This window comes from Homo sapiens, chromosome 6, assembly GCF_000001405.40.
Source record: "Homo sapiens chromosome 6, GRCh38.p14 Primary Assembly".
Lineage (NCBI taxonomy): Eukaryota > Metazoa > Chordata > Mammalia > Primates > Hominidae > Homo > Homo sapiens.
The window spans coordinates 24,808,847-24,820,897 of record NC_000006.12 but is presented as its reverse complement, the minus strand read 5'-3'; the positions used below and the strand labels follow the sequence as shown (position 1 = coordinate 24,820,897).

The 12,051-nt window shown below is 42.1% G+C and overlaps 1 protein-coding gene across 7 annotated transcripts in view; it reads left to right on the top strand.

Moving 5' to 3' along the window:
- The window catches only part of RIPOR2 (RHO family interacting cell polarization regulator 2), a 237,885-nt gene that overhangs the window by 221,271 nt on the left and 4,563 nt on the right, over positions 1-12,051 (top strand). For all 7 annotated transcript variants that reach the window (XM_006715275.3, XM_011515012.2, NM_001286445.3 and 4 more), the window contains 2 exons: positions 2,273-2,356; positions 11,091-11,181. In XM_006715275.3, the coding sequence (XP_006715338.1) occupies positions 2,273-2,356; positions 11,091-11,181 (175 nt within the window). The remainder of the gene's footprint in view (positions 1-2,272; positions 2,357-11,090; positions 11,182-12,051) is intronic.

Here is a 12,051-nt window from a genome sequence, read left to right as displayed (position 1 = left end):
CTCTCAAAAAAAAAAAAAAAAAAAAAAAGAGTGTTAAACCATATGTCCACACAAAAAAACCTTGTACACAGATGTTCATAGCAGCATTATTCATAATAACCAAAAAGTAGAAACAATCTGAAGGTTCATCAACTGGTGAATAAATAAAATGTGGTCTAGCCATATAATGGAATATTTTTTGGCCATAAAAAGAAATGCAATCCTAATACATCCTTCAACCTAGATGAGCCTTGAAGATACTATGCCAAATGAAAGAGCAAGACATAGGAGGCTACATATTGTGTGAATTCATTTATATGAAATGTCCAAAGTAGGCAAATCCATAGTAATGGAGAGTAGATTAGTGGTTGCCAGCGACTGGAGAGAAAGGGTCTTGGGAATGACTACTAATGGGTACAGGATTTCTTTTTGGGGTAATGAAAATATTCTGAAATCAGATGATGGGGATGATTTGTGAATATACTAAAAACCATTGAATTATACATGCTGTAGTCTAAATATTATGGTATATAAATTATATTTTCAATTTTTTTAAATGGAATTGTCCTATAAAACTGAGAAAACAGGGGCCGTGTGCAGTGGCTCACGCCTGTAATCCCAGCACTCTGGGAGGCCGAGGCGGACGGATCACAAGGTCAGGAGTTTGAGATCAGCCTGGCCAACGTGGTGAAACCCTGTCTCTACTAAAAATACAAAAATTAGCTGGGCATCATAGCATCCGCCTGTAATCCCAGCTACTAGGGAGGCTGAGGCAGGAGAATCGCTTGAACCCGGGAGGCGGAGGTTGCAGTGAGCCAAGTTTGTGCCATTGCACTCCAGCCTGGGCAATAAGAGTGAAACTCCATCTCCAAAAATAAATAAATAAATAAAAATAGAAAATAAAAGTAATTCAGACAAATAGCAAGAAATGCACAATATAGCCCAACAAAATCAAAAGTTAGTCCTCTCTTTCCACCCTCAATTCTCTTCAAGAGTAATTAAGTTTCCTATGAACCAATATGACATATAGTGATTCTTATTCATTTGAATTAATGTTAAGTACTACACATTTTATCAACCATTTAGGAAGAAATTAGCTTGGTAAAAATAAGACAATTGGCCGGGTGCAGTAGCTCACGCCTGTAATCCCAACACTTTGGGAGGCCGAGGTGGGCGGATCACAAGGTCAGGAATTCAAGACCAGCCTGGCCAATATGGTAAAATCCTGTCTCCACTAAAAAAAAAAAAAAAAAAAATTAGCTGGGCGTGGTGGTGGGCACCTGTAATCGAGGTAGGAGAATCTCTTGAACCCGGGAGATGGAGGTTACAGTGAGCCGAGATCACACCACTGCACTCCAGCCTGGGCCACAGAGCGAGATTCTGTCTCAAAAAAAAAAAAGATAATGTACTTTTATGCAGAGATTTTTTAAACAGAGCATTCATTTGCCATGTATCAAACTCAGCAAATCTCAAACTGACATTACCACCCTCCTCACTGGAATGTACTGCCTCCTCCTGTCTTCCTTATTTCTGACTGAATACCTTTTTTTCAATCAACTTCCCTACTGAAATCTAAGCCATCATTTCCATTCCAGTTCAAACATTTTTGTGAAACTTACCCTGGCACTCCGTAAGATGTCTCTTCTCCAAGTGACTGACTTACCTTGTAGATTTCTTATGGGACCTAATACATTTCTTCTCTTCAGTTCCTTCTAAACAGTCTTAGCATTTCTACTACATCTAAGGGCTCCTTAAAAGCCAGAATCATAACTCTCTCCCAATTTTATTTAATAAATTGATCCCTTATATTCTCCTAGAGTCATGGACTCTAGGAGAATATTTCAAATCTTGGAATGACACATGAGACAAGGGGCAGGAGCTTGCAGGCCTTTATGATGGGACATAAAGAAAGGGATTAACACCTTAAAAGAAAAAGTTAATGATCTGGGATCAAAAACAGCTCTGAGAAATTTTGCCTTCCTCGTTACTTGGTTTAAAAAATTACCTTTAGGTGGCCAATAAAAGCCCACGGTCATTATGTTACTCAATAAATTGATCCCTTATGTTCTCCTAGAGTCATAGTAGATCTAGGAGAACATAAGGGATCAATTTATTGAATAAACGACTCTTTTAATTAATATGAATTTCAATGGCTTTTTTTTTCTTGCTCTGAAGGTAGTGCAAAATGTGTAGGTTATATGCTATAGTTTATCTCAGAGAGTAAGAATGAGGTATACCTCTTAAACTACGAACAAACCAAAATGCCTTCATGAGGTCCCTCCTTCTCTTTCAGGCCTTGCTCTATTACTGTGAAGCACTAACAAAGACAAACCTCCAGCTCCAGAAAGCAGCTTGCCTGGCTCTGAAAATCCTTGAGGTAAAGCCCAGCCTTGGAGCTCCCCTGGCAGCTCAGCTTGGAGCCAGGCTAAGCTGAGTGTATATAACAGCTTTTCTTTCATGTTTGAAAGTACTTTTTTAGCAGTATTTCTTGTCTTCTTTGCACCGTATGTTAGTTTTAGTATTTTTCTCCCTTAAACAGTAATTACATGTGACTTTGTTTTGTTAAAGTCAATAAGTGGCAGAAAGCAATCATGTTTTGCACTAGCCCAAGGGAACCAGTTTGCCTTTAGGTCAGTATTAGAAAAGTACATCTTATTAGCCGGCACAGTGGCTCATGCCTGTAATCCCAGCATTTTGGGAGGCCGAGGCCGGTGGATCACCTGAGGTCAGGAGTTTGAGATCAACCTGGCCAACATGGTGAAACCTCATCTCTACAAAAATACAAAAACTAGCTGGGCATGATGGCAGGTGCCTGTAATCCCAGCTACTCAGGAGGCTGAGGAGGGAGAATTGCTTGAACCCAGGAAGTTGCAGTGAGCCAAGATTGTGCCATTGTACTCCAGCCTGGGTGGCAGAGCCAGACTCTGTCTCAAAAAAAAAGAGAGAGAGAGAGAAAAGGAAAGTATATCTTATTTTAAAAGGGAGATGAGATGTATGGTGATTTCACTCATTTTTATTGTGAACAACAAAAAGCAAGGACAAATAAGATTTGAAAAGAAGTACTAAATTCAGTATGCCACTGAATTCCCAGATCCTTCCCCGCAAGCTCTCTTTATTAAGCAGAGAACCAGTTTTGATTGTCATAAGGAGGTGTCGTGAGCAGGGAGAGAGCTAGAATGTAAACAAGTACTAAACGGAACAATAATACCACCGAGGAGGAGCCAAGATGGCCGAATAGGAACAGCTCCGGTCTACAGCTCCCAGCGTGAGCGACGCAGAAGACGGGTGATTTCTGCATTTCCATCTGAGGTACCGGGTTCATCTCACTAGGGAGTGCCAGACAGTGGGCGCAGGCCAGTGTGTGTGCGCACCGTGTGCGAGCCGAAGCAGGGCGAGGCATTGCCTCACCTGGGAAGCGCAAGGGGTCAGGGAGTTCCCTTTCCGAGTCAAAGAAAGGGGTGACGGACGCACCTGGAAAATCGGGTCACTCCCACCCGAATATTGCGCTTTTCAGACCGGCTTAAGAAACGGCGCACCACGAGACTATATCCCACACCTGGCTCAGAGGGTCCTACGCCCACGGAATCTCGCTGATTGCTAGCACAGCAGTCTGAGATCAAACTGCAAGGCGGCAACGAGGCTGGGGGAGGGGCGCCCGCCATTGCCCAGGCTTGCTTAGGTAAACAAAGCAGCCGGGAAGCTCGAACTGGGTGGAGCCCACCACAGCTCAAGGAGGCCTGCCTGCCTCTGTAGGCTCCACCTCTGGGGGCAGGGCACAGACAAACAAAAAGACAGCAGTAACCTCTGCAGACTTAAGTGTCCCTGTCTGACAGCTTTGAAGAGAGCAGTGGTTCTCCCAGCACGCAGCTGGAGATCTGAGAACGGGCAGACTGCCTCCTCAAGTGGGTCCCTGACCCCTGACCCCCGAGCAGCCTAACTGGGAGGCACCCCCCAGCAGGGGCACACTGACACCTCACACGGCAGGGTATTCCAACAGACCTGCAGCTGAGAGTCCTGTCTGTTAGAAGGAAAACTAACAACCAGAAAGGACATCTACACCGAAAACCCATCTGTACATCACCATCATCAAAGACCAAAAGTAGATAAAACCACAAAGATGGGGAAAAAACAGAACAGAAAAACTGGAAACTCTAAAACGCAGAGCGCCTCTCCTCCTCCAAAGGAACGCAGTTCCTCACCAGCAACAGAACAAAGCTGGATGGAGAATGATTTTGACGAGCTGAGAGAAGAAGGCTTCAGACGATCAAATTACTCTGAGCTACGGGAGGACATTCAAACCAAAGGCAAAGAAGTTGAAAACTTTGAAAAAAATTTAGAAGAATGTATAACTAGAATAACCAATACAGAGAAGTGCTTAAAGGAGCTGATGGAGCTGAAAACCAAGGCTCGAGAACTACGTGAAGAATGCAGAAGCCTCAGGAGCCGATGCGATCAACTGGAAGAAAGGGTATCAGCAATGGAAGATGAAATGAATGAAATGAAGCGAGAAGGGAAGTTTAGAGAAAAAAGAATAAAAAGAAATGAGCAAAGCCTCCAAGAAATATGGGACTATGTGAAAAGACCAAATCTACGTCTGATTGGTGTACCTGAAAGTGATGTGGAGAATGGAACCAAGTTGGAAAACACTCTGCAGGATATTATCCAGGAGAACTTCCCCAATCTAGCAAGGCAGGCCAACGTTCAGATTCAGGAAATACAGAGAACGCCACAAAGATACTCCTCGAGAAGAGCAACTCCAAGACACATAATTGTCAGATTCACCAAAGTTGAAATGAAGGAAAAAATGTTAAGGGCAGCCAGAGAGAAAGGTCGGGTTACCCTCAAAGGAAAGCCCATCAGACTAACAGCGGATCTCTCGGCAGAAACCCTACAAGCCAGAAGAGAGTGGGGGCCAATATTCAACATTCTTAAAGAAAAGAATTTTCAACCCAGAATTTCATATCCAGCCAAACTAAGCTTCATAAGTGAAGGAGAAATAAAATACTTTATAGACAAGCAAATGCTGAGAGATTTTGTCACCACCAGGCCTGCCCTAAAAGAGCTCCTGAAGGAAGCGCTAAACATGGAAAGGAACAACCGGTACCAGCCGCTGCAAAATCATGCCAAAATGTAAAGACCATCGAGACTAGGAAGAAACTGCATCAACTAATGAGCAAAATCACCAGCTAACATCATAATGACAGGATCAAATTCACACATAACAATATTAACTTTAAATATAAACGGACTAAATTCTGCAATTAAAAGACACAGACTGGCAAGTTGGATAAAGAGTCAAGACCCATCAGTGTCCTGTATTCAGGAAACCCATCTCACGTGCAGAGACACACATAGGCTCAAAATAAAAGGATGGAGGAAGATCTACCAAGCCAATGGAAAACAAAAAAAGGCAGGGGTTGCAATCCTAGTCTCTGATAAAACAGACTTTAAACCAACAAAGATCAAAAGAGACAAAGAAGGCCATTACATAATGGTAAAGGGATCAATTCAACAAGAGGAGCTAACTATCCTAAATATTTATGCACCCAATACAGGAGCACCCAGATTCATAAAGCAAGTCCTCAGTGACCTACAAAGAGACTTAGACTCCCACACATTAATAATGGGAGACTTTAACACCCCACTGTCAACATTAGACAGATCAACGAGACAGAAAGTCAACAAGGATACCCAGGAATTGAACTCAGCTCTGCACCAAGCAGACCTAATAGACATCTACAGAACTCTCCACCCCAAATCAACAGAATATACATTTTTTTCAGCACCACACCACACCTATTCCAAAATTGACCACATAGTTGGAAGTAAAGCTCTCCTCAGCAAATGTAAAAGAACAGAAATTATAACAAACTATCTCTCAGACCACAGTGCAATCAAACTAGAACTCAGGATTAAGAATCTCACTCAAAGCCGCTCAACTACATGGAAACTGAACAACCTGCTCCTGAATGACTACTGGGTACATAACGAAATGAAGGCAGAAATAAAGATGTTCTTTGAAACCAACGAGAACAAAGACACCACATACCAGAATCTCTGGGACGCATTCAAAGCAGTGTGTAGAGGGAAATTTATAGCACTAAATGCCTACAAGAGAAAGCAGGAAAGATCCAAAATTGACACCCTAACATCACAATTAAAAGAACTAGAAAAGCAAGAGCAAACACATTCAAAAGCTAGCAGAAGGCAAGAAATAACTAAAATCAGAGCAGAACTGAAGGAAATAGAGACACAAAAAACCCTTCAAAAAATCAATGAATCCAGGAGCTGGTTTTTTGAAAGGATCAACAAAATTGATAGACCGCTAGCAAGACTAATAAAGAAAAAAAGAGAGAAGAATCAAATAGACACAATAAAAAATGATAAAGGGGATATCACCACCGATCCCACAGAAATACAAACTACCATCAGAGAATACTACAAACACCTCTACGCAAATAAACTAGAAAATCTAGAAGAAATGGATACATTCCTCGACACATACACTCTCCCAAGACTAAACCAGGAAGAAGTTGAATCTCTGAATAGACCAATAACAGGCTCTGAAATTGTGGCAATAATCAATAGTTTACCAACCAAAAAGAGTCCAGGACCAGATGGATTCACAGCCGAATTCTACCAGAGGTACAAGGAGGAACTGGTACCATTCCTTCTGAAACTATTCCAATCAATAGAAAAAGAGGGAATCCTCCCTAACTCATTTTATGAGGCCAGCATCATTCTGATACCAAAGCCGGGCAGAGACACAACCAAAAAAGAGAATTTTAGACCAATATCCTTGATGAACATTGATGCAAAAATCCTCAATAAAATACTGGCAAACCGAATTCAGCAGCACATCAAAAAGCTTGTCCACCATGATCAAGTGGGCTTCATCCCTGGGATGCAAGGCTGGTTCAATATACGCAAATCAATAAATGTAATCCAGCATATAAACAGAGCCAAAGACAAAAACCACATGATTATCTCAATAGATGCAGAAAAAGCCTTTGACAAAATTCAACAACCCTTCATGCTAAAAACTCTCAATAAATTAGGTATTGATGGGACGTATTTCAAAATAATAAGAGCTATCTATGACAAACCCACAGCCAATATCATACTGAATGGGCAAAAACTGGAAGCATTCCCTTTGAAAACTGGCACAAGACAGGGATGCCCTCTCTCACCACTCCTATTCAACATAGTGTTGGAAGTTCTGGCCAGGGCAATCAGGCAGGAGAAGGAAATAAAGGGTATTCAATTAGGAAAAGAGGAAGTCAAATTGTCCCTGTTTGCAGACGACATGATTGTTTATCTAGAAAACCCCATCGTCTCAGCCCAAAATCTCCTTAAGCTGATAAGCAACTTCAGCAAAGTCTCAGGATACAAAATCAATGTACAAAAATCACAAGCATTCTTATACACCAACAACAGACAAACAGAGAGCCAAATCATGGGTGAACTCCCATTCACAATTGCTTCAAAGAGAATAAAATACCTAGGAATCCAACTTACAAGGGATGTGAAGGACCTCTTCAAGGAGAACTACAAACCACTGCTCAAGGAAATAAAAGAGGATACAAACAAATGGAAGAACATTCCATGCTCATGGGTAGGAAGAATCAATATCGTGAAAATGGCCATACTGCCCAAGGTAATTTACAGATTCAATGCCATCCCCATCAAGCTACCAATGACTTTCTTCACAGAATTGGAAAAAACTACTTTAAAGTTCATATGGAACCAAAAAAGAGCCCGCATTGCCAAGTCAATCCTAAGCCAAAAGAACAAAGCTGGAGGCATCACACTACCTGACTTCAAACTATACTACAAGGCTACAGTAACCAAAACAGCATGGTACTGGTACCAAAACAGAGATATAGATCAATGGAACAGAACAGAGCCCTCAGAAATAATGCCGCATATCTACAACTATCTGATCTTCGACAAACCTGAGAAAAACAAGCAATGGGGAAAGGATTCCCTATTTAATAAATGGTGCTGGGAAAACTGGCTAGCCATATGTAGAAAGCTCAAACTGGATGCCTTCCTTACACCTTATACAAAAATCAATTCAAGATGGATTAAAGATTTAAACGTTAAACCTAAAACCATAAAAACCCTAGAAGAAAACCTAGGCATTACCATTCAGGACATAGGCGTGGGCAAGGACTTCATGTCCAAAACACCAAAAGCAATGGCAACAAAAGACAAAATTGACAAATGGGATCTAATTAAACTAAAGAGCTTCTGCACAGCAAAAGAAACTACCATCAGAGTGAACAGGCAACCTACAACATGGGAGAAAATTTTCGCAACCTACTCATCTGACAAAGGGCTAATATCCAGAATCTACAATGAACTCAAACAAATTTACAAGAAAAAAACAAACAACCCCATCAAAAAGTGGGCGAAGGACATGAACAGACACTTCTCAAAAGAAGACATTTATGCAGCCAAAAAACACATGAAGAAATGCTCATCATCACTGGCCATCAGAGAAATGCAAATCAAAACCACTATGAGATATCATCTCACACCAGTTAGAATGGCAATCATTAAAAAGTCAGGAAACAGGTGCTGGAGAGGATGCGGAGAAATAGGAACACTTTTACACTGTTGGTGGGACTGTAAACTAGTTCATCCATTGTGGAAGTCAGTGTGGCGATTCCTCAGGGATCTAGAACTAGAAATACCATTTGACCCAGCCATCCCATTACTGGGTATATACCCAAATGAGTATAAATCATGCTGCTATAAAGACACATGCACACGTATGTTTATTGCGGCACTATTCACAATAGCAAAGACTTGGAACCAACCCAAATGTCCAACAATGATAGACTGGATTAAGAAAATGTGGCACATATACACCATGGAATACTATGCAGCCATAAAAAATGATGAGTTCATATCCTTTGTAGGGACATGGATGAAAATGGAAACCATCATTCTCAGTAAACTATCGCAAGAACAAAAAACCAAACACCGCATATTCTCACTCATAGGTGGGAATTGAACAATGAGATCACATGGACACAGGAAGGGGAATATCACACTCTGGGGACTGTGGTGGGGTCGGGGGAGGGGGGAGGGATAGCATTGGGAGATATACCTAATGCTAGATGACACATTAGTGGATGCAGCGCACCAGCATGGCACATGTATACATATGTAACTAACCTGCACAATGTGCACATGTACCCTAAAACTTAGAGTATAATTAAAAAAAAAAAAAAGAAAAAAAAAAAAAAAAAAGTACTAAACGAATGGGAACTCCTGACATGGATGTTTCCCTTTCAATGGCAAGATGTAATGTTTGACCTACTTTCATCACAAAAAAATAAGACAAATCAGTCTTGAGAAAAGAATGAGAGAAGGCCAGGTGCAGTGGCTCATGCCTGTAATCCCAGCACTTTGGAAGGCTGAGGCAGGCGTATCACTTGAGGTCAGGAGATCGAGACCAGCCTGGTCAACATGATGAAACCCCGTCTCTACTAAAAATACAAAAAAAATTAGCCAGGCATGGTGGCACACACCTGTAATCCCAGCTACTGGGGAGGCTGAGGCAGGAGAATCGCTTGAATCCAGGAGACAGAGGTTTCAGTGAGCCAAGATTGCACCACTGCACTCCAACCTGGGCGACAGAGACTCCATCTCAAAAAAAAAAAAAAAAAAAAAAAAAAAGAATGAGAGAAGGCCACACCTTAGAACTTGCCAAAATCTTGGAAAAGAGCTGCAGGCCTGATAAAGAAAGGAATTAATACCTCAAAAGAAAAAGTTAATGGCCTGTGATCAAAAACAGCTCTAGGGCCAGGCATGGTGGCTCATGCCTGTAATCCCAGCACTTTGGGAGGCTGAGGCCGGTGGATCACCTGAGGTCAGGAGTTTGAGACCAGCCTGGCCAACATGGTGAAACCTCATCCTTACTGAAAACACAAAAATTAGCCAGGCGTGGTGGCGCACACCTGTAATCCCAGCTACTCAGGAGGCTGAGGCAGGAGAATCGCTTGAACCCAGGAGACAGAAGTTGCAGTGAGCCAAGATCACGCCACTGTACTCCAGTCTGGGTGACTGAATGAGACTCTGTCTCAAAGAAAAAAAAAGAAACAGCTGTAGGAAATTTTGCCTTGTTACTTGGTTAAAAAAAAAATTACCTTCAGGTGCCCAAATAGAAAGCCCACAGTGATTGCTATTTGGGTGCTTTCCTGATATCCAGTGATATATCAGTGACAGATGTCTGTGATACAGACAAAGTAAATAAAGACATAAGGATACAGTGATCTGCATGGGTTTTCATACTCTGAATCCACTAGACTGTAAATTCTTGAGGACCAGAACCATGTCTGGTTTACTGTGGAATCTCTCATGCCTTATGAATAGTCTGGTTCATGGAGTGCTCAATAAATATTTGTGGAACAAACAAATAGAAGAATTGTCATTAATGGCCTTTACCTCCTCCTCTATTTTAGCATATAAACTAAATAGTAAGAATTTTTTAATTAGAGCCATTTTGGAATCAGTGAGATTCAGTGGAAAGAACCAGGGAAAATGGATTCTACTCTGGAAAAGCAAGCTCGTCACTTCACTCCTCTAGACCAGGAGTGTGCTGTGGAATGAGGAATTTAGCTGATCATCAGAATTCCTGAAAGTAAGAACTCTGGGCCCCATCCCAGGAAATTCTGATATAGTGCATCCGGAGTGGCACCCAGGAATATTGGGTTTCAGACACTCAGCTAGGTTTGACCCCATAGGTAAAGTGGTTTTTAGCATTCCTACCAGCTGGCCGGGCACAGTGGCTTACACCTGTAATCCCACCACATTAGGAGGCCAAGGCAGAAGAATTCGACTAGCCTGGGCAACATAGTGAGACCTCATCTGTACCAAAGGTTAAAAATTAAAAATCAGTCCTGGCTACTCAGGAGGCTGAGGCAGGAGAATTGCTTGAGCCCAGGAGGTCAAGGCTGCAGTGAGCTATGATTGCTCCATTGCACTCCAGCCTGGGCAACAAAGTGAGGCTAAAGTTCCCACCAGTTGTGAAATGCCAAGTCTCGTGGTACTCTAGACCTAAATGTCAAAACACGATTTAACCTATTTTTCCCCCATAGGCTACTGAAAGCATTAAAATGCTGGTGACATTGTGTCAATCTGATACTGAAGAAATCAGAAATGTGGCCTCAGAAACCCTCTTGTCTCTGGGTGAGTTTTATTGTTGTTGTTTACATGATTGTTTGCTTCTGGCACTCTCTAACGGATGTTCCCATTTAGATGTTCCCTTCTCCAGTAAGGAGAAGTTTCATGTACCCTGTTTAGCAGTTTCCCCGCTGTAGGCTGTCTTCTCACACACAGAGTACGAAGAACTGATCAGTGTCTATCTCACCCCAACTCCTTGTTCTGTCTGGATGCTGAGAGTGAACTATATTGTCTGGAGACTTTCTATATGGATTGATCAGTCTGTGTACTATTTAGAATCAAGAACACAGAAGTCAAACCATAAAGCAAAGGCAATAGGAATCCAGGCTGTGTTGCCAGGTGGGGTTGACATTCCCTGGAGGACAGAAATTGGGTGAGGTACCAGAGATGCATCCCAGGGAATGCTGTAAATCCCCAGGTATCTCAGCCTCACCCTGACTCCCAGGTTAACCTCTGACTGCCCTGTGGCCTCTGCCCATCTGAGCCCTGATACCTAAGAAAAGAATTGGAGTACTTATTTTATTCTGAAATATCCAGATAATCCTTCCTCTTCACTTTATTTTATGAAGGTTCATGCCTAGCAGGCATTATACATTTATTCTTTTTTGGGGACTTGGGAGGGTGGGGAAAGCCTTTCTTAACTCTGTATTAAAAAGTATAAATAGCTGGGTTTGGTGGCTCACCCCTGTAACCCCAGCACTTTGGGAGGCCAAGGTGAGTGGATCACTTGAGGTCAAGAGTTCGAGACCAGCCTGGCCAACATGATGAAACCATGTATCTACTAAAAATACAAAAATTAGCCAGGTGTGGTGGGGTGCACCTGTAGTCCCAGCTACTTGGGAGGCTGAGGTAGGAGAATCACTTGAACCCAGGAAA